The sequence below is a fragment of the Homo sapiens genome, chromosome 15, assembly GCF_000001405.40.
Source record: "Homo sapiens chromosome 15, GRCh38.p14 Primary Assembly".
Taxonomy (NCBI): domain Eukaryota; kingdom Metazoa; phylum Chordata; class Mammalia; order Primates; family Hominidae; genus Homo; species Homo sapiens.
The window spans coordinates 80,578,647-80,601,681 of NC_000015.10; the positions used below are offsets into that span (position 1 = coordinate 80,578,647).

At 48.4% G+C, this 23,035-nt stretch overlaps 1 protein-coding gene, 1 long non-coding RNA gene and 1 other non-coding gene across 3 annotated transcripts in view; 2 read left to right on the forward strand and 1 right to left on the reverse strand.

Moving 5' to 3' along the window:
- Nucleotides 1-19,287, forward strand: part of ARNT2 (aryl hydrocarbon receptor nuclear translocator 2) — a 193,552-nt gene extending 174,265 nt beyond the window's left edge. Inside the window, exons 16-19 of the mRNA NM_014862.4 lie at nt 1,765-1,903; nt 2,593-2,758; nt 12,922-13,058; nt 14,954-19,287. Of these exons, the coding sequence (NP_055677.3) occupies nt 1,765-1,903; nt 2,593-2,758; nt 12,922-13,058; nt 14,954-15,052 (541 nt within the window). The 3' untranslated portion in view covers nt 15,053-19,287. The remainder of the gene's footprint in view (nt 1-1,764; nt 1,904-2,592; nt 2,759-12,921; nt 13,059-14,953) is intronic.
- ARNT2-AS1 (ARNT2 antisense RNA 1) lies at nt 1,384-5,911 on the reverse strand. The gene is made up of 2 exons (XR_007064732.1): nt 5,172-5,911; nt 1,384-4,115 (listed from the first exon to the last, which is right to left on the reverse strand). It is a non-coding gene; the product is annotated as an ARNT2 antisense RNA 1 (long non-coding RNA).
- Nucleotides 2,457-2,593, forward strand: MIR5572 (microRNA 5572). Its single transcript, NR_049837.1, has one exon. It is a non-coding gene; the product is annotated as a microRNA 5572 (primary transcript).
- Nucleotides 19,288-23,035: the final 3,748 nt, after the last annotated feature.

Here is a 23,035-nt window from a genome sequence, read left to right on the forward strand (position 1 = left end):
CAGTGATGAGTGATGGGGAAGGAAAAGCAGGTTTGGGGCAGCTGGCAGTGTGGGGAAGGAATCCAAGGAACGTCCGAACACCTGTGCAGAGCCTGGCATAGAAAAGGCACTTGCTGAGTACTAGTCTGTAAAATGAATGAATAAATGACTGAGTTAATTAAAGGATGCCTGTTAGGGCTAAAGCCTGTGGAATGGGCAGAATTTCCTGTATATCCGAAGGATCTGAGCTGGCTTGGGATGGGGTAGGCTGTGGGATGAAGGACTCTGGGGCCCAATACAGCCATAGGGAATCCTGGGCCGCTTGCAGAATGGTGTTGCTGGCACCTGAAGTGCATCCTCACCCACAGTCCTCCCTCTCTGGTCCCGCCAGTTTTGGCCCCTGCCTGTCCACACTAAGGCAGGCAGCTGTAGCCCAGAGGCCCCCAGGGAGGGCTGTGCACAAGGGCTGGCGCTTTGCCCCAAGAAGCCCATCCCTTTCTGCCAAGGCGCCTTTCCTAGGACCGTCTACGCTGTAGCGGCCCTCATCAGTCAGTGTTTTGGGGAGGACACCAAGGGCTGGGGGCTGTGGAGAGGGTCCTACTAGACAATAGTGACCAGAAAATGTCCTCTGAAGCAATACTTTCATCAGGAAGGAGAATGGGAAAGGAGCCCTTATGTTAAATGAGGAATTGATTGTATGAAGACAGAAATGATGTCCCCTTTATATAAGCCACTGAACTTGTTTTACAATGATCAGCTCAAGAATGTCTCTGACATTCTTGGTTTCTCCCTATTTTAAAAGGGATCAGATAGCATAGGAAACTTATTAGAATACAATAGTAAAATTTTACCCAATCTCTGCTGATCTCTGGCTTGCCTTTTTTTTAACACGGAGCTGAAAATCTACCAAAGCCTTCTGTGATGAGCCCCATTCTGCCCTACTTGACTGATTCATGGGCACCCAGCGCACTGCCCTGCATGCTGAGCTAGTCCCAGGGAGGCAGGAGGAGGGGCCTGAAACAAAGTAAAAGTCTGCCCCCAGCCTTTTAGTCTTTGATGAGCTTCTCATGTAATCGACATAGCCTGGAAAATCTCCTGGAAGAAGCGCCTGGTGGTACAGACAGTGCCTGCCGAGGAGCTAAGCAGGGTCAGAGATTTAGCCTGCAAAGGCCATGCAGAGAGCACGGCACACAGCAGGGGCCTAATAAAGACAAACTGAGTTAAGTCGAAGGTGAACTGAAGGTGGGAGGGGTAAACTCTGGGTAGCAGGACTAGGCCCCATCCAGCAGGTTTTCATTGAGAAGCTTTTCTTTCCGTTTAAAACTGACAGCCTGCAACCTATTTCCTGAATCCTTAAGCCTCATAGGTGCCCCAAAGGAACAAATTAACCAGAGCACAAAAGAGTGAGTGAACAGTGGGACTGATTTTTATTCTAAGAAGCTTCTCTCTTTCTGGGAACCAAATCATCTGCTGAGAGCAGAGGATGTACAGGCATAGGATAGGGGCTGAAGAGTGCGTGGGAGACCCTGGGGAGAACGAGGAGAGGAAGTACCAGACTACTAGACATGGCAGGACTACTCAGCAGTGTAGAGGAAGCCCTGAAGGGAGAGGAGGACGGCCAAGGGGCTTTGAGGCTCACGATGTGTGAGTCATTTTCTCTAGTGACGTGCTGCATGGAGAGAGAGCCAGGAAGATGGCCCAGGGCAGATTGTGTGGTTGGCTGGGCACGTAGACTCATGCAAACCAGGTGTGTCCTCGGGATAAATGCATTTTCCTCTTTTCTAGCTCTTCAGTGGTTCATGTGCCTGGAGTGAATGATATTCAGTCCTCTTCTTCCACGGGCCAGAACATGTCCCAAATCTCCCGGCAGCTAAACCAGAGTCAGGTGGCATGGACAGGGAGTCGTCCGCCCTTTCCGGGACAGGTATGGGCATCTGTGAGGGCATCTCCCCTGGGTGACCAGAGAGGCAGAGCACTCTGGGAAGTGTTTTCTTTGGATTGCGGTTCTGAGGATGGGTCGGCTCCTAGCTGGAACCAACCACCCTAACAGCAGCTGGCTACTCAGGAGCACCATCCACCCTCAGGGCTCTCGGAGAGCCAGGTGCCCAGCCTGCAACTTCAGCAGCCTTTTCTCCTTACAGCCATGCCCTGAGGCAGCTGGCAGGGAAAGGTTGGGCAGGTTGAGACACCTCATCAAGAATGAGCCCCTCACTACTCTGGACCTCTGGCTGCCCCTGCGCCAGGAGGGCATGAAACCACCAACCCTTGTGACATCCCCAGACCCTCATAGTCACTGTGAGGGTGGGTGTTGATTGGGCTGAGGGAGTTCTAGGTGTTCATAATGCCAAGGCCTTGGTAACCAGACTCCAGAGGGCCCGGATCCTCGTAGCCCTGGGGAGTAACTTCAACCAGACGTGCCCCAAAGATCCTGCAGTTCCTGGGCCCTCACACACCGGGCTGATCCCAGGCCTGTGCCTAGCCAGACAAGAGGGTCATGGGGAGTCACTGTCAACCCAGAGCAGGCACTGCCCCTGCGACCAGCCTGGGGCATCGGTTGGGGTGCAGGGGTCTGCTGGTGATGCTTTCCATCTCTTTGCTTTGTCCTGATTGTAGCAAATCCCATCTCAGTCCAGCAAGACTCAGTCATCTCCCTTTGGGATTGGAACGAGCCACACCTACCCGGCAGACCCCTCTTCCTACAGCCCCCTCTCCAGCCCAGCTACCTCCTCGCCAAGTGGGAATGCCTACTCCAGTCTTGCCAACAGGACTCCAGGGTTCGGTAGGTGGGGAATGAGGGAGTGAGATTCTGGGAAAGCCAGCACAAATGCTTTCTGAACAGCCTGAATTCAGGAGGCTGAGCTCCAAGCTCCCAGCTACCAAAACAAGGTCTGGAGGTTTCCAAGCACCTCCTCTCTCTCTGGCTATGAGGAGGCCTATGGTGTTCCTAAGAGACTGGATGCTTAGGCCTTGGCTTTGTGATTTGACTTTATCATTTTCAAGGCATTGGGATGATGTTGCTGTGCTGTGAGGTGATCTGAATACCATTTTAACCCATTATGGCCCTGGCAAGGATTTTCAGGTCCCCCAAGTCAAAAACCTTATAGTCTTGTTTCAAGAAACTAGAGAATAGCTATAGAGACAATCAATTGCATAAATAACACTGCAAAGTTTTCTGTCTCTTTTAAATATTAAAAACACCTATCTTACTTTGTTAACAAAACCTCAGGCCATAGAGGGTTAAGGAACCGCTGTGTCCTGTGCATTTCTCAGGATCCTGGGCCTTGCCCACTCTCCGTGTGTGTAAGGAACCTCCTCAGCATGTCTCCCAGGGCTAGGGTTCCACTCCACGTCAGGACAAGCTCATAAGAGACCCGTGGTCCTGGTAAGAAGTCCAAGCTGGTGCCTGCTTTCTCACAGTGAGGTCACTGGGTGACACCCAGCAGTGCGGCTCATAGAGCTTTTCTCTACAGAATTGATTCCTCAGATGAGCGTGAATCTGAGCCCAAACATCTGAATTTCCACGTGGCAAGTTAAAAGCTTCCATTAGAACTGCTTGTCTGTCAGCCTTATGAACAATTCTGTGCAGGCAGGGCGCGGTGACTCACATCTGTAATCCCAGCACTTTGAAAGGTCAAGGTGGCAGATCACCGGAGCCCAGGAGTTCAAGACTAGCCTGGGCAACATTGCAAAACCCTGTCTCTACAAAAAAAAAAAAAAAAAATTAGCCAGGTGTTGTGGTGCATGCCTGTAATTCCAGCTACTCAGGAGGCTAAGGTGGGAGGATCATTTGATCCCAGGAGGTTGAGGCTGCAGTGAGCCATGATCACACCACTGCACTCCAGCCTGGGTGACACAGTGAGACCCTGTCTGAAAAAACAAAAGAAAGAAAAATGCTGTGCAGAGCCCCTAGCACACAATGGGGAGTTGTCATCTGCTGCCCAGCCCTCCCCACCTCCTCCACTAACAGCAGCACGTCCGTCCCACTCAGCCCGAGGTCTTGGGGCACAGCATTTCCTGAGGCCATGCTTGTCCCTCCAGCCTTAGTCCCATTTACTTGCAGTGTGTCTCCTCTTCGTCTGTTAAGTATTCTCGCCACGTGGTTCACTGGAACCCAGTTTAGAAGCACAGCACCCTGTCTGAGGAAGGAGAAACCCCATAGCAGTTGCTCTCAAGTCAGCCAGGCACTCAGCACGGTTACCACCTTGAGCCCAGAATCCTGTTTCTCAGGATAGCATCCACCTTCCTGCAGTCACACGTGAGATCCTTCTCCACATCTGGTTCCCCACCCGGGTGTGGAGAGACCCCTTCACCTCCTCCTGAAGGTGGGCCTCATAGACTCAAGGCCTCCTGGGTACCTAGTCCTTCCCGGAAGCCCAGGGACCATCTGGCACCGATCTACTCAAAAAAACCTTCAGTGCCAGGCCCCGAATCAGCCCTGGAAGACAGGAGACCTGGTCCCCACCCAGAGAAGGACACAGTCCAGAGACTGGGTCAGGGGAGACAGACAGAGGTAAAGGGAGGCAGGCAGGACAGTCTGCAGGTGCGGCAGCCATGGTCTGCGTGGGGGCCCTTGTGGCTGCAGGCCAGGACAGTCGTTATGTCTGATGGGGTCAAGAGAGGCTTCGGAGCAGAGCTAACACGCAACCGTGGCAAGGTCTTGGAGCATCCCACTGTGGCCGTGACGAGACAGGTGGGCAGGCCACTTCCCTGCCCCAACCATCCAGTGCCTTTAGCTCCATGCCTCTGTCTAGTCTCCACTAAACAAATGCCAGGCCCTGAAGTATAAATGGAGACGGGACACAGGAAGGACGAAGCCCTGGGTTGAGGCCACTGCACCACTGTGGCCAAGAACAGGCTCAACACAGATGGGGCTCCAGGTTGGGTTTTTACATTTGCCTTTGAGCTATCTCACACTCAGATGATAATAATAGTAATGATAGCAGCCTGCCCTTAGTAGGTACTTATTATATGCTAGCATGTAGCATTCATTCAGTGCTCACAATAGCCCTAAGAAGGAGATACCATTATTATTCCCATCTCACAGATAAGTAAACTAAGGCACACTGAGGTCAGATAACTTACCCAGGCTAACTTACTATAGCTGATAATAGCAGAATCATGCCTTTGGAGCCAAGAATCAAAGCTGGGCAGTACATCTGAGACTGTGTTCCCATCCACTACTCTGTACTTACCATCATTTTCAAATCCATTCACAGGGGACCTCAGAATTAAGCAGGAATTGGATGTCCCAGCAGATGGCCCTTGATGTACATTCATGAGAAAGGGGCTGGAACCCTTCCAATGAGGGCATGGAAAAAGCATATAAAATCGAGAAATGAAGGACTGAGAAGTTTCTTATGGCCTTGCCATCAGTGCATCATGTGTTACCTTTGGCCACAGCTATTTGAGTGGAATAGGATGCAGGGAGAGTGTGTTGAAAGCCAGGCTGTGGTGGAGTGAACAGGTGATAGAGTGGAGACGAAGCTGAGCAGGAGAGCAGGAAGGGAGGCACAGTCTTGGGAGGGAGAGGGAGACCTCGAGGCGAGGGGTTGCTGTCATCGTCTGTGATGAGTACACTGCTGGAGGAAGGCTCCCAGTGCAGGCAGAGGGGACCCAGCATAAGGTGTTGGGGTTCACATCAGAGGTGTAGAGGGGCCTGGAAAATGGGTGGACACCAGACCCCCTTCTGACCACAGGGTCAGCTTTTACTCCACAGGGCTTCAAGGAAGTGGAGTGCTGGCTGGGAGAAGAGGGCAGGCTTTGGTTAAGGACAGAAGAAAGAGGGTGTGTGTATGGTTAGGAAGAGGACCCAAAGGGTTGTTCGTTAGTGAGGATGGTTACTCCCGAGGGCACAGTGGGAAAGGGTGCAGGGAACAGAGCAGGTAAGAATGGGTGAGTGGAGAAGGAACAGAGCAGGTAAGAATCGGTGAGTGGAGAAGGAACAGAGCAGTCTGCCCCATTAATGGTCAGTTTCATTAATTATTAAACACAAAGCAGGCTTAAAAAACAGGCCGTGTTTACATTTGCAATGGACACACACCCTAGCCCAGCGTGGGCACATCTGAGTGGCTTCCCAGTGCCCTCTGTGCAGCCCTGGGGCCTATTGGTGTGGCACTGATGGGTTCCCAGTCCTGACAGCACCCCACGGTACCTGGCCTCAGTTCATTATCCATGGCCAGAGCCCAGAGAGATAATGCGGTTGATCCCAGCCTCCTGCTTCTGGCTGGCTGGAGCAGGCAGGGGATTTGGAATGCCTGCTGAGCAGACTTGCCGGACGTCACCCAGTGGTGGACCAGGGGCAGACATCGAGTTGTGACAAGCATAGCATGTCACTTTTGAACAGTGCTTCAACTGTAGCAGACTCCTCAGGATAGCTTTGTAGACTGAGTTTATACATTGAGTGAGAAAAAACGCCCCTGCCTGGGTCTCAGCCCTTTCTGTGAAACACATGCTGGTTTTGTTCAACGAGCTTTCAGGAGTCAAGCCAAAGCATTTCTTCCATTTCAGACCTTTCACGTTATCTTGAGCTTTACTGCTGTCATAATTGTGTTTCCAGTCTTAGTATCATTTTCATTTTGAGTCCAGTCACAGCAAAAACCTAGCCATTTGAAATGTAGCATCCACTAGGAAACTACACAGTCCCATTACTTAAGCCCTGAAAAATCCAAGCATTTATTCCCTTAACAAAGTAAGTGGGGAAAGTGTTGTGCCTGTAGGGCCCAGTCAGGAGACAGAAACCATGGCAGTAATTTAAACAGGAAAAATTTAAAGATTTTGTGACTAATTAAAGGTGGTTAAGAAGGACCCTGAGGAATACAGGAATAATAAATGTGGGCAGCAGCTTCTACCTCTAAGGCTAAGGGAAAGTAGACAAGACAGGAACTAAGAACTTGGAAGAGGAGACCCCACCCCACAAAACCTGAGGTTCAGCCCTTGTTGGAGAATGTGCATCTGTCTTGGTAACACACTGTGGATGCTCTGGACTGCAGTGGGTCTGTAAAAGCAGCCTGCCCACTGACTGAGACACTCAGTAGGGGGTGCAGATGGACCAGAAATGGTCTACACACCCACCCCACCAGGTGGCCAAGAATTTCCCCAGGGAGTGCCCGCAGGTAAAACTGACTCACAGGAGGCAGCCTCTGGGTGGTAGAGAAATGTGCTGAAGAGGGAGCACCCTGACATCCTGCACACTGCGTTAGACACACTGCAGGAGGAAAGAAACACCTGATCCAGGAAGAGAAGCCACTTCTCTGCAGTACCTCGCTTGTCTCTCCAGCGTCCTCTGCTGAGAAAGCCTAACGCTGCACTCGCTGACAAAGGAGAAATGTTTGCAGGGTGTAGTTTCAGTATCATGAAACAGGGCAAAGAAGGATGGATTTAGAGCCAAGAGGCAATAAATTGATAACTGGCAAGAATGTATATGACCTGAATCCTCAAATTGCTCAGTTTCTTTTCATCTCAACTACTGCCAGGCATCTGCTTGTTGATATTACCTTGTTTCTTGGAGAAATGCAGGGAGCCAAGTGCACAGGTTGCTTAAAGAGAAATGGCTCAAAGGTGCTGTAGCAGACCAGGTTTCAATTCCTTGACTTGCTCCAAGTGTGGCATACACATACGTAGGATCTAAGTTACATTATTTTCTTAGCAGCATGATTTCCAGATATATTGTCTTGGCAAGCAACAGCATGTCCATAGCTCCTTGTTCCCCACATGCGTCTCAGTTTAGGGTGAGGTCTCTAAAGCAATTCATCCATGCATGACACAAGTCAGATCAGGTCGATACAGATTAAATCAGGTCACAATAGATAAACAACTCTGGGGATGAATGTCTTTTACAAAGCTCGAGAAACACATCCAGAACACATTGCCTTTTTGTAAAAGAGCCATGTCCATCCCAGCCTGCCCCACCTAGCCCATACTCACTTTGGAGAGGAGAATTGAAAGAATTTGTTATTCCAGGCTGGGTGTGGTGGCTCATACCTGTAATCCCAGCCCTTTGGGAGGCCGAGGTGGGTTGATCCCTTGAGGCCAGGAGTCCAAGACCAGCCTGGCCAACATGGTGAAACGTTGTCTCTACTAAAAATACAAAAATTAGCCGGGCATGGTGGTGCGCGCTGAGGCAGGAGAATTGCTTGAACCTGGGAGGTGGAGGTTGCAGTGAGCCGAGATTGCACCACTGCACTCCAGCCTGGATGACAGAGGAAGACTCCATTTCAAAAAAAAAAAAAAAGGAATTTATTATTTCAAAAATATCTGGAGTGAGAAACGAAAGGCATAATTCAAAATAGGGGAACAGGGTAGACTAAGCACAGGCAGGGAGCCAGTAGGATTTTGCTGATCTGAAATGTTTGCAGACACCATGCACCCTCTTCCTCCCCAGCTCCTGCCCATAAAGCTCAGTCCCGGACATTTTTACCAGTGAATTATGGGGAATTATAGACCTCTCCATCCCTAATACTAGTTAGTGTTGAAAAGGTGAGGCCTTAGCCAGAAGGCTCAGGAAGACTGTGATCCTTGCTGTAAGGTGCGTTTTTCTTCTGCCTAGAAGGCATTTGTAAGACAATGAGCTGCCCTTTGGTGCACCTTGTTACTTTATCCAGCAGGGTTTCTCAGTGTCAGCACTATTGACATTTTAGGCTGGATAATTCTTTGTTGTGGGGGGGCTATCTCTTCCTTATAGGGGGTTCAGCAGCATCTCCCTGCCTCTACCTACTAGGATTTCTCTGTTTATGATAATGACAAGTGTTTCCAGACATTGTCAAATGTCCCCCTTGGTTTGGTGGGGGGGTGGGGTTGCGCAAAATCACCCGATTGGGAACCACTGAGCTAAACCCAACTACATAGGACTTCCAAGCAGGACTTCAAGTGAGCCTTAAGTCTTAGGGCAATTTCCAAATCAGCTGAACCTCACAAGAAAAAATGTTAATGAGAGGAGAATGATAGCATTGAGCTTCAAATTTTTAAAAAAGGAGGATGTCATCCCTGCCTCTGTGACCTAGGAAGCCACAAGCTCCTCAAGATTCTGACCCGTGGTCTGAAAGCCCACACAGCTGGCCCAGGTGTTATCAGCCCATAACACAGTCTATCTGGGCTGGGAGGTGGCCCATGCACAGAATTATCTAGGCACAGAGAAGGGGAAGGATGTACATGACAGAAAGAACACATGTGCAGTAGCACAGAGATGTAACTGCATGTGGCTCATGGGGGACATGCAAGTATTGTCATGTGACTAGGGCAAGAGGGGCTGGAATTAGACACGAAGTGGGAGATGAGGCTAAAAATAGGTCCAGATCGTGAAGGATCTTCATGCCAACATCCAGAACATGGATGTTACTACATAGACCGCGGTCAACCACTAAGCAGTCTGTAAGCAGTGGACTACTGTTGGAGGGAGATCACGCCAGTAGCTGTGTGGTTATGGGGGCAGTGGGTGTGGCCATGACTCACAGCACTGGTTGGGGCAGTGAGAATGGAGGAAAGCAGGTAGGAGTTGAGAGATGGTATTTAGGGGAGTGGGAACTCAGCCGACCCCAGCCTGTCAATACCACCAGAAGTGCAAGTTTATCATCCCTAGCTCTTCCCACTCACACCCCTCAGCACAGTCAGTAATCAATCAACAAGCCTAGGCACCTCCTTCTCCATCACATCTCAAATCCACCCACTGCTCTCCAGCTGGCTTTTGTTCTGTGTTTTGAGCCACTGTCGTCTCTTGCAAGGATTGCTACAGCAGCCTCCTCCCCTCTGGCTCCTTCCCTCTCCTCTTGTCTACCCCATTCCTTTCTCGGTTGGTCTCTTTCCCTCTCTTTTTGTCCACCCACCCATGGACCATACACATCTGTGTGCTTCCTGCTTCTGCTTAAAAACCTTCAGTGTTTCTCTGTTGTCCCCAAAATTGGTCATACTGACAGTGTGGAACCTGACCCCTGGCTTACCCTCCAGCCTTATCTCTTATGACTTGCCTGATCTCACTCTATTCCTCTTCCATCCTGAGCCACCTGTAGATGCCCGGATGAACCAAGCCCTTTTTCACCATCAGGCCTTTGAACAGACTGACCCTTTTCTCTAGAATTATTTTCAACCTTACCTCCAAGCCCTATACCGGATTAATTACTAATTCCCCTTCTGGTGTCATCTGAGATCTCTGAAAAACCTTTTCTACTTGTCATGGCTAGTTAGGTATCCCTCGTAAGCGTTTTTATTCTAGTTCCTCTGACTCTTAGAGCAGCTCTCACCTGTGCAGAATTGCCTGTTTGCTCCCTTTCCCAACCATGCTATATGCTTGTTGAGAGAGGAACGATCTTATTCTCCAGTGTGTGTACAGTACCAGCATGGAGCCCACGTCAGAGCAGGAGCTCAGGAAATATTTGCCAAGTGAATAAATGAATGAGTCAGTTGATGAGATTAGAAGAGGTTATTTCCTTCTTGTTTGTTGACGAGAAGGAAGGCCTGACTCAGACCCCTGCTTTCAACATATGTTAAGAGATAAGGTCACTTACAGTAAGGACCAGGAGGCACGTGAGAAAGAGTAGTGTAAGAAGTAGCAGAACCAAAATCAAGTTCAGTCCTAGAAGTCAACAAGATAGTTTCAAACAGAATGATCAAGAGTGTTGGATACTCAAGAGAGATTGAGAAGAATGGGCACTCTTCAAATGCCTATTGGATGGGGCCTGGCAGTAGAGTAATTGCACAGGGTTGAGAAGGGAGGGAAAGGAGAAGATGCTGTGGGGTGGGGGTGGCTGTAAATGTTGATGGCAAAGGGAAGGAGAGGTAGGTATGTACTTTAAGGAGGAAGGGCTGAGGGCATTGATTTGTGATGGGCAAGCCCCAAGGAAACCATCATTGCAGCAGCATCCTGGGTGAGCCTGTGTGGCAGTCATCTTCCTGAATGCATAAGGACATTCCCCCAGTCTACCATGCCCTTCCTTCAGCACAGGTGGCTATGTCCCTCCACCCTTCTGCCAAGCAACATGGACCCACTGAAGGCCCCATCTTGTGCTCAGCCTCTGCAGGCTTCCAGAATGGGACAGGTGCCTGTCAGGTGGGAATTTCCTCGTAGCTCCAGCTGGCGATGCTACTGTTTTAACTTTGCCACAGTTGTGGACCCAGCCTTCCCTCTGCTAAGCCAATTAATGAGGCCAGTCGACACGATTCTATGAAAGAGTTCCTCCTGGCCCTTGGGGTCTTGTGTGGGATCATTAGGAAAAGACATTTCACATAGGCAGATGAATTTTTTATAGCAGAATCCTATGTGCACAGTAGATTTAAATCTCTCTTATGCTAAGGAGGGGAATGTACCCTGCCTCAATTTTATAGAATTCCTTACCAACTATTGTCATCATGTAGAGTTTGAAAAGCACCAATGGTAAGGCATTAAAGGGACCTTATGCATTTTATTAAAGCCCTTTATGTCTCAGGCATTATATATGGGTGGATGGGTGGGAGAGAGAGCGAGGGAGAGAGAGAGATTCTTCTCCCTGAACACTTTCTAACCTGGCCTCACATTAACGCAGTGCCCAGGCTGGGGGTTGGGTGGGGCCTGAGGCTTCCCCGTGGCCAGCATGATCGTTGGAAAGAGTAGTATGGGACAAGATGGGGCTTCTCTTGCCACCCAGAGCTTGACAGAGAGCCCATTATCTCCAAAATGGTACTGAATGATTTGAAACAAGAAAAAAAGCTTCTAAGATTTTTGATGTTCCTTAAAGGTATCTTCTCTGAAGGTATTTTTTTAAGCCTCCTCTTTGGTTGAATCTCAAAAACGTTTTTAGACAAAATTCCACTTACTGGATCCTCTTTGGTTGAATCTCAAAAATGTTTTTCGACAAAAAACCACTTACTGGATAGGCACAGTGGCTCACTCATCCCAGCACTTTGGGAGGCCAGAGCAGGGGGACTGCATGAGGCCAGGAGTTTGAGACCAACCTGGGCAACAGAGCCAGACCCCATCTCTAAAAAAAAAATGTTTTTTAATTAGTCAGGCAATGTGGCATGAGCCTGTAGTCCCAGCTATGAGGGAGGCTGAGGCTGGAGGATTGGTTGAGCCCAGGATTTCAAGGCTGAAGTGAGCCATGATTGCACCACTGCATTCCAGCCAGGGCAGTGGAATAAGACTCTTTCTCGTATGTAAAAAACCAATTCCACTTATGTTTCCTATTTTTTGTTTTCTTCCATTGGCTGTTTTTTTGTATAAACTGTAGACAGAAGCAAAGTGGCTCTCATTTATAAATGAATTTGCTGATTCCCACAGAGGAACCTTATCTTGTCTGACCAGTGCCCAAATTTCTTCCCCTGCAAACAAACTGACGCAAAGAAAACACTCTGCCAAAGAGCCAGGCAGGAAAAGACTGTGGTGCTTGGCCCTGTAGGGGGACCTTGTATAATGCGTGTGTGGCTTCCGAGGAGTTGCTCGGGGGCAGAGGCTGAGGTTGGGAATGCCAAGATGAGGCTTTTCCTCTAGCAGGGCCAGATGCCTTTCAAGAGCATTCGGTGGACCGAGAGGGAATCAGGAGCAGGGGCAGGTGTGTCTTCCTCCTCATGCCAACACCATACTGCTGAGGACAGACCCTCTCTCAGCCCACACTCTGCATGCAACAGATATGCCCCTTGCCCCCCAGATGCCCGCAGGAGGCCTTTGTGCACAGTCACCAAGTGCAAGGAGCACTCCAAGGCTTAAAGCACCTAGTCACCTGGCAGGTGACCTCAGGAAGAGCCATCCTCTCTGGCCAAGTACCTGCACCATTGGGCAAAGGGCTCCTGTGTCTCTTATCCACTCCATTTATGATCTGTCAGCCAGTGAGAAAGACGAGGATAGCAAACACATTCCGCCAGCTCTGGATGGAACGTGCCTTTCAGAAGCGGGAGGCCCTCCAGCCGCAGTGGTTCTTAGGTCTCACAGAACCACGGGATGGCTTTTAAAGGAAGTGTCCTGTGTGTCGAATCTTTCAGCTGAAAGTGGACAAAGTAGCGGGCAGTTCCAAGGGCGGCCCTCGGAAGTCTGGTCGCAGTGGCAAAGCCAGCACCATGGCCAGCAGAGCGGTGAGCAGCACTCCCACCAGCAGCCCGGTCAGACTGAAGTGTTCCAGGTAAATCGAGCGAGCACCGCCTTCTCGTAGGTACCGGCGCCTTCTCTCTGCTTCCTTTCCCCCTCGGTCTCTGCCGCACCACCGCCTGCCCGATAGCCGTCGTGAGTTCTGGCCCAGCCTGGGCTCGAGGGAGTCCAGGAGTAGAAAGCCCCATCCTACCCAGCCAGAAACGTCAGGTGCATGTGGGAAGGAGAAGGGGCTGATGTAGCCTTCGAGCTAAGCCACACAATAGAGGAGGCTGCAGTTGGAGATGCTTCCCAGACTCCAGAGCTATCCAGGGTAGAGGCACAAAACCAAGGCCAAAGGGGGTCTCTCCTAAGAGCTGCAGGCACCCCCAGGCTTGGCTGTCTGTCACTGGCTGACCCTCTTTCTTCCCACCGTAGCCCCCAGGATGTGGAGGACATCCCCACCCAGGCCCTTGCTCAGTGCCAGCCTTGCCCTGGCTCTGCTCTCCTCTGTGGTTAAGCTCAGGGAGAGTCCCCGATTGAGGATACCTGGGCACCTTGAAACTCTCCATTATTTGAGACCTTTCTAGACCATCCCTCGTGTCTAAGGCAGACTGTGTGGCTGGGGATGGCACTGCTGCAGCCCCACAGAGCAGGCCCCTGCCCTTTGTGGGCTTCCTTGGCTCAACTTTCAGCCAGAAACATTCCTACTGGAAGGCTTCAAATGGAGGTACGAGCCCATTAACTCCCCTTCAGCCATCCCTCCAGGTCCTTCTAACAGGAACCCAGGCACGTCCTGCATGCCCCAGGCCTGCCCTGCAAAGCAATGATAGGGGCAGGAACCACATCGTGGGAGGGTTCTGAGACTCCCAGGATTGCAACCCCTCCTTCTCAAGAATCAGTGCTCCATATACCCCACCCTCATCCCAAGCCCCTCTCCTGCCGGGGTCAGCTGTGTCTTCACAGACAAAGGCCTGGGACTCAGATGTCACTCAGGGCAGCATTCTGTGAATGTACAGGGGAACGGCTCACCCAGGCCTTCGCCTGCCTCCCCTGACTGCAGCCATCTCCTCCTTCCTCCTTCTGTAAGGCCTTGTTCCTTGCCCATTCTGAGGCCCCACAGCAACCCTGTAAGGCAGAATTTCCTGACATGGATCTTCATGGTCACGATGCTAAAAAGAATTCTTGGCCAAATAAGCTTACGAAAAACTGGTTAAACAAAGTTATTGAGTTTCTTTATTGCAGGACGTATCAGAGCTTTTATTACACCAATAAGGACTGGATTTCTAGGAGGTAGGCAAAGTGTGCCTTGTTTCCCAAACTTATTTGTCCACAGAATTCTTTTCTCACAGAGTATCACATGGGCTGAGAATTCAACAGAACACATGTTGGGGAATTGGCTGTAAGAAACTAAAATAGTGCTATTCCCGTTTTCTGGATGGGTCATCTGAGGCCCAGAGGACTGGAAAGACATGTTGAAACTGAAATCTAACCATTCAGGGATTCGTCCCTGCGCTAAGATAAACATGGAAGACAGGCCAGCCAGGTCTCCACATACATCTTCCTTCCACTCCACTCTGCGTTGCATTTCTCTTATATTTTGGCCATCTGCTATCTGTTAGGTGCACCTTGCTTGGGGCCAGCCTGGGGTCTCCCCGCCAGTGGGGTTCTCGTCTACCCTGGGTCCCTGACTCAACCTTAGATAGACAAAGGGCATGTCCTAATGCCGTTTACCTGCTGTCACAACAGCTCCCTGGGGAGAACAGTTTCCCCGGGTCTCAGACATTTGAGGACCCTTGCAGAGCATCCCGCAGAAGGCTGGGGAGGACCTCTGGGCTGCCCCTTTAGGGATGGCCATGAGGGTGAGTGCAGACTGGGCTCCTGGGACATGCCCAGTGCACGGACAGAGGAGCTGACTCCCCTGTGGCTCTCTTTTCCTCTCCTCTGCAGGACATGCTGCCCATGCCAGGAGATCCAACCCAGGGGACTGGCAACTATAACATCGAAGACTTTGCCGACCTGGGCATGTTTCCACCGTTTTCTGAGTAGCTGCGGCCAGAGTGAGGCTCCTGCTGTACAGTGCCACCCATACTGTGATGTCGATGCCCATGTGAATGAGGCCCACCCTCGCCCTGCTTGCCCTGCCGCAGGCCCCCCACCAGAAGCCATCTCCCCCGCTGTGTGTCCCCAGGCGCATCATTGCTCCACTCTCCCCTGCAGCCGCGGCTGCTCGGCCACTGACCAGGGGCCCTGGCAGACATTAGGGGATCAGTTGTATTTATTGTATTTTATCTGTGTGTGCTCAGGAGGTGAGCCTAGTGGGTCCTTAAGTTTGGTTGTGAATAATCTCTTGATAGACAATTTATACCCATGAAAGTTCAGCCAATGCCCAGAGTGACCAAGCAGCACCAGCAGGCCTGCCCAGGATGCTGAAAGCAGATTTCTTCTTGATTTCACTTCTGATGGATGCATGGGGCTCTGGGGGAATGCTGGGAAAATGGGCAAGCAGAGTGCACAGCCCTCGTTCTGCCAGCTGGAGCCAAGAAGCACAGAGACACAGAGGCGCCTGCCCCTCAGCTCCGCTGGTCTGTCTGTGCATCCACTGTGCCGTGGGACATATGTAATTTGTGCAGTGTGACATGGACTTGCTGTCCTAATGGATGTGTTGTGCCTTGTGTCTGTCATGTGTGGCCAGCGTGATTGTATAGAATCCAGAGTATGTAGAGAGCCAAAATGTGTGGCCCTGTCCCCAAGCTCAGCACCACCGGCCATGACCAGAGGTTGCTCGGCCCAGGGTCTGGGAGCTGGGCTAACAGGCTGACACTTCGGCAGGGTCACCAGGAGGCACAGCTAGGGGCATGCTCACATGGGTAGGTCAGTTCTTTGGTCCAAGCCTCTGGTGCAGATTCAAGCTCCTCCTCTTAGAGGAAGCAGCTCCTTCCTCCCACAGGAGCCCCAAGGGAGCACTCACCCTCCTCCCAATTGGATCTGAATAGCTGTGTTCCTGATCCCACATAAGCATGTCTCATCCTTGCCCCACTGGTGAGAGGAGGACCTTGTGCCTGCCCAGAGCCTGCAGGACAGCACGCCTTGAGGTCAGAGGCCTGGCCCTTCTTTACAGATGTAGATAGCAGGGTAGGACGCCCAGGCCTTCTCACATGGGCACCATGAAACACTTTCTTCCAGGCCACCTGAGCCTTCGTTCTTCAGCCCGACTGGAGGAACAGCAGCTCTGGGAGGCACAGAGTGCAGGTCTCAGGGGCAGAAGACATGGGTTCCAGTTCTGGTTCTGCCACACACCCACCGGCCTTGAATTTCTCTGGTGGTCTCAAGACAAGAACAAGAGCTGACTCTAGAATCTTCTGCCTGGCTGACCTCTGAGCCCATGATCCCTGGCTTGCTGTGCTTCTCTTGGATTTGAGGAGAGTTTATGAATCCATCCCCCTGTTTTCAGGGACCTCTGCCTTCTCCCACACCCCTTACACTAGTGAGGACTCCTTCGGCCTCTTGTGTTTCCTTCCTTTTGTGACCATTACGCCCCCTCCCTGTTTCTTATCACCAGCCCATCAGCCCACTGACTCCCATATGGTAGAAAAGGTACCGTGGCTGCTGCAGGGCACATGGAGGGACCTACCCTCTGGGAAAGCCCTTGTGTCCCTCCCAGAGTCCTTCAGGTAGGCCCTCGCAGATGCTGCTTGCTCAGAAACAACCCGTGCATCCCTGCCCATGGATTCTGCAGGACCTAGAAGAGTGGCATTGGTTCTAGGAACCTGAGAGTGGAGTGAGGCCAGCATGCAGGAAGGAGTTTGGAGAGAGTGTTTGCTGTGATCCATTGAAAGCTCCACATTAAACCCCAGCCCTGTCTGGCCAGGGAGATCCATGTGCTCAATGTTGCTGGGGGACCTACAAAAGTCAAACATTGCTCAGTAAAATGCCTTTGGCTGGTCGCCAGCTGTGCATGACTGCAGTTCCTAGACTCTAACTTAACCCCAACTTTGCAGTTTCTAGAGCTTTTTGTCTGTAATGGTGATTGGGTCTCCACTGTAGATGCATGCAGTGTTCACTCCAACCTCAGAGGCTTTCTTGCTTCTGGGGAAATGGCAGGTGGTTGAAACCCTGCACATCCTCCCAGGGCCAGCCCCAGAATGGGCCTTTCTCTGCCTGCCCTGCCCTTGGGGCCACCTCTGCCTCCAGCAGGCTTGAGCTTGCCCCAGGCCTTGGGCATAATTATTTCCCCCCAAAAAAGGCACAAAAATAGGTTTTGGATCAAAGAAGTGTTTCTCAGTGAAATGAAAACAGTCTTTTTATAGCCTTTAGCTTGTGAGTTTGGAAGTTTGGGGGGTCTTATGTTTGTTTTGCCTCTTCTGTTTCTTGGAGGAGAGTTGAGGCTTTTCTTAGGTGCATACACAGACCCAGGTGAACACGCTGACTGTGAACCTGCCCTGTATCCGGAGCTGTGCTGGGCACTGAGGGGATGCAACAAAATTAGGAGAGGATCCTTGCTCCCAACGTCTACTTCTCCTACCTCAACAGGGGTCCAGGGTGCAGTGAACTCAGTTCTTGGCCCTTGGGTGAGGATTCATGGATGAATGAAAGCTAGACCTGATGGGGAGGCATTATGACTAAATAGGCCCAGCCTCCTTCCCTTCCAGCTCTGTCCTAGGAGCATAGGCGGGAAATCTGAGTAGAGTCTGACTGCAGTTTTTGCTTATGATTTGTAAAAGCCGTCATGGGGTCAATAAGAAAATAGGGGTGATGGAGGGGGAGAAGCCCAGGACTGGGAGAATCGCACATGCCCCAGGGGTTTTCACCAAGGATTTTCAAGACAAACTGGAGTAAGAATTAAAGCCCCAGAGGATTTAATTATCCTGGTTTGCAAAAGAGCCTCCCATGCCAGTACCGCCCAGCCTTGGAGGCCGGAATGCTCATGGCCCCTGTGGTCTGCTTGTCCTTCAGCCCATGCCCAGCAGATACCTCTCTGACTGGAGACGGGCTCAAAGCTGGATTAGAAAGGGGAGAGGCACTTGTGACTTTGTTTGACTCTGTGACTCACTTCCTCGCTCACACCTTGTTTGAACTACTGGACTTTCAACTGGCTTTCCTTAGGTCAGGCAAGCAGACAGCTCCCCACTGAAGAGGTCTGTACAGTGACAACCCGGGCCGGCAGCAAGGACACAGATGCAGCCACAGTAAGGCTCCATCAGGACTGGGTCAGTGATGGCAACAGGATGGCCAAGGATGGCTCTAGAACACTCTGTCCATGCGTCACTCCCCCCAGTTTTATTTTTAGCTTTGGCTTCAGGGAGTGACAGCCATCACAAATAGCCACATTCTGCTCTACTCTCCAACATACCAGATTCTACACTGTTGTTATTTCATGAGACGTGAATGTTGCAGAGAGTGGGGGGATTCTGGTTGTTAAGGAACTTACACTGGGGAGCTTTACTCTTCCGTGTCAACAATGTGACTACATGTTCTCCAGATTAGCCACACATGCAAACATCAGTGTCCTTCTAGCTTTAGCCGAGAAAGAAACCAGTCCCAGGGAATGAATGGTGGTCTCCCCACTCCCGGCAGCACTTTAGGCAGCCCATAAGCTATGCGAGAATGTGAACGCTCACCTTGCTCCGTCACGGTTCTGACCTACCACATAAACAGGAAGAAGCCAGTGACCGGAACAGCTCTAGGAATAACAAGTCAGAATAGAAGTGTCCTTTATATTACCAGAAAATATGGGCTTGGCCTAAGTCGCTGTCTCCTAACCTGCCGGGGTCATTCCCCACCAAACACCCCATACTAAGGAGCCATGAGCCACCTGGACATTCACCTTTTCTTTGACCATCTGGAGTCTGGGGCAACTTAAGGAGGCACCACACAGTGGTGCAGGCACATTTCCAAGCGTAGGTGTCCCTGGCTTTTGTGGCCAAAGCTAGTGTTATGGTCAACAACAGGCCAGGGTCTGTGGGGCACTGACCTTGAAAGTGGCAAAATGGAGGTTTCACAGGCTGTGCGGGAGCAGGACGGCTTGCTTCATCTAACAATCTCAGTTTCCTTTAAAAAAAGAAAGAAAGGAAAAGATTTCATAAGCAGGTGTCAGTGGACAGTTTAAGTACTTAACCATTTCTCTTTCTTCTTATGGATGTGAACTGTGCTGTGGATAAATCATTTGTATTTCTTGAATGTTCTCTATGACTAACAGTTATTAAGTCGGTTGTGTATATGTGTAACTAATGTAACTGCCTTTTAAAATTTCATTACAATAAAAATGACTTTGCTCTGAACAACAAATGGCCCAGGCCAAGTTTGTAATTGAACCATCCTTGAAACCTGCCCTTTGCATTACACTCCCTCCTATGGGCTGTATTGTGTCATAATCTGTAAAGGATGTGGCGTACATTATACTAAAGAGTGACCCTTTTGGAGGTTTAGCTTCTTAGGATAGAAAAGGAAACTAGGGCTGGGCACAGTGGCTCAGGCCTGTAATCCCAGCACTTTGGGAGGCTGAGGTGGGAAGATCACTGGAGCCCAGGGGTTTGAGAACAGCTTGAGCAACAAAGCAAGACCCTGTCTCAAAACAAAACAAACAAAGGAAGCTAGCATATCAGTCATATTGCATTAGAACCAACAGAAAATAAATAAACAAATAATAAAAGGAAACACAATTCTTGACCGTCTGTGTTAGGCAAGGCTCTCTAGAAGCTTCCTTACAAATGCTATTTTTGTTAATACAAATCTGATATGTGGTTACTCTCCCTGGTTTACAGATGGAGAAACTGGAACTCAGAGAAGTTAAGAAAATACAGGAAGGAAATGGCAGAACCAGGATATTGAACTCAGGTCTCAGTCCAAAACCCTGTATATATTGTCCTATTCAAACATTCTTCTTATTATTTTTTAATCCTTACAAAATTGTTAGTGTTTTAATATGCTGATGCCTCTAGTAAATACAATTGACTCTTGAACAACATGGGTTTGAACTGTGTAGGTCCACTTACACGTGGATTTTCTTCCATCCACCTCTGCCAGCCCTGAGACAGGAAGACCTCCTCTTCCTCCTCCTCCTCAGCCTACTCAACGTGAAGATGACAAGGATGGAGACCTTTGTGAAGAGCCACTTCCACTTAATGAATAGTAAATATACTGTCTCTTCCTTATGATTTTCTTAACATTTTCTTTTCTCTAGCTTACTTAACTGTAAGAATACAGTATATAACACATCTAAAATATGTGTTAATTAACTGTTTTATGTTATCTATATTCTGGTCAACGGTAGATTATTAGTTGTTAAGTTTTAGGGGAGTCAAAATTTATACATGGACTTTCAACTGCATGAAGAGTAGGCGTCCCTAACCCCCATGATGTTCAAGGGTCAACTGTACTTACAAATTCTATTGTTCCTCTGCCAAAAGAGAACTTTTTGGATTCTAGCAAAATGGCAGACTAAAATTGTTTTAAAACTCTTCCATCAAACACCTAGCATTGCTAGTTTTTACAGCTTTATTGATCTATTATTGACATAAAGTAGACTGCACGTATTTAAAGTATACATAAAATTCTGTGACCCTGAGTTAAATATAGACTTCTTAGATACTACACCAAAAGCATGATCCATCAAAGAATAAATTGACAAATTAGACTACATAAATATTAAAGGCATTTGCTTTTCAAAAGACACTGCTAAGAGCATGAAAAGATAAGCCACTGATGGGAGAAAACATTCACAAGTCATGTATCTGACAAAGGACTAGTACCTAGAATATGTGAAGAACTCTTACAATGGAATAAAACAAATGACTCAGTACAAAACAGGCAAAAAATCTGAACAGGCACGTCACCACAGAAAATATACAGATGGCAAATAAGCATGTGGAAAAAACTGATTACCATCATTAGTCATCAAGGAAATGGAAAATAAAATATACAGTGACTCTAATATTTGGCTAAAATGTAAAAAGACTGATGATAGCAAGTGTTGCCCAGGATATGGAGCAACTAGAACCCTCATAAAGGCAAAATGGTACAGCCACTTTGAGTAACAGTTTCTTAGGAAGTTAATCATCCACTCATCTTATGACCTAGCTTTTTCATACCTAGCTATTTGCCCAGGAGAAATAAAAACATATTTCCAAACAAAGACTTGAATAGGAATATTCATTGCAGTTTCATATGTAATAGCCATGAGGGAAAAACAACCTAAATGTCCATCAGTAGGTGAGTGGATAAACAAATTGTGGTACCACCACACAGTGGAATACTACCCAGCAATAAAAAGGAACAAAGCACAGATACAATCAACAGCATAAACAGAGCTCGAAAACATTATGCAGAGCAAAAAATGCCAGGCACAAACATACACAATGATTGCACTTATATGAAACTCTAGATAAGACTTATCCAATCAGAAAGCAGATCGTTGGTTGCTGGCCGGAGGAGTAAGTGGGAGGAGGCACAAGGGAAGTTTGTGAGATGATGAAAAGGTTCTATATCTTTCTTGTGTGATGGTCACAAAGGTGTATACAAATCACAAAACTCATCAAACCCTTCATTTAAGATGGGTACATTAAATTCTGTTGTGCATAGGTTGTCTCTAAATAAAGTTGATGTAAAAATAATCACAGCAGTTTCTTGTGGAATTTGTCAAGTTGATTTCAAATTTCCTATGGAAGAAAAAATGATAGGCAGTAAATTTTGTTGAATAAGATCTAAAAAAGAAAAGAAAGAGGGAGAAAGAGGAAGAAAAGGAGAAAAAAGAGCCAGCCTTTATCCCACCGGACAGTGGGAAGCTTTATCATTAGAAGTGTGGGGTTGGGCCAGGCATGGTGGCTCACACCTCTAATCCCAGCACTTTGGGAAGCTGAGAGGTAAGGATCCCTTGAGCCCAGGAGTTCAAAACCAACATCATGGTGAGGCCCCATCCCTACAAAAAAGAGATGAATGGCTTGAGCCCAGGAGTTCGAGGCTACAGTGAGCTATGATCACACCACTGCACTCCTGACTGAGTGACAGAGTGAGACCCCCTTTCTCTAAAAAAAAAAAAAAAGTGTAAGGTTAGCATGGAGATGGAAAAGTAGATCACAGAACACAACAAAGAACCTAGAAATCCACAGACATTCAGAAAGAAGCTTGGAAGAGTCAGCATTACAAATCACAGGGACCAGCTAGACTTCCAATAGATGGTGCTCGAGGAAAGAATGTAGGAAAAGAAATCTTCATACTCTCATCTCACACCCTATAGAAAAAATAAACTCTACACAGATGAAAACATCGCAAGGCTAAAGGCAATATATGTAAAACATTTAGAAAAAATCTAGGAGAATATATTTTAAAAATCAAGTCTTGGAAGGATTTCTTAAACCCGGCACAAAGACAACAAACAATGAAGTAAAATATTGATAAAGTTTAACTCAATTTAAAAAATCAGCCTCAAAAAATGTAACAGTCCATTAACTGGTAGAAAATATTTGCAATTTGTATACCCAAAAATGTAGTATTCAGAATAAATGAAAGATTCCTAAAAGTCAATTTAAAAAAATAGAACTCAATAGAAAAATGGTCAAAGAATTTGAGTTGTGAGTTCATAGAAAATCAGATGGCATTAAATCTATTAGAAGACGCTGAACTTCATTGTAATTAAGGGAAAGGCAAAATTAAAACAAAATAAATGCTTATGTCGCTCAGATTTACTACGTCTGATAACATGATTGTTACTGAGGATATGGGGAGACAGGAATTCTATTTCCTAGCTAGTGGAAAATAGCATACTTGCTCTGAAAAAGATGACATTTATCAGTACCATTTTTCCAACAGCATATTGGAATGTCAAAGATGTACAAACCCATGACAGTGATTCTAATTCCAACTGTCTGTTCTACAAAACGTCTCACATATACACAAGAAGACAGATAAAAAGATATTTATTGCTCTGTGTGTAAGAGTGAAAAAGTGGAAGAAAATAATCTATCCTTTAGTAGAGAAATGAATAAATTGTGATTTAGGTACACAAAGGAATATATCGCAGCACTTAAATACCTT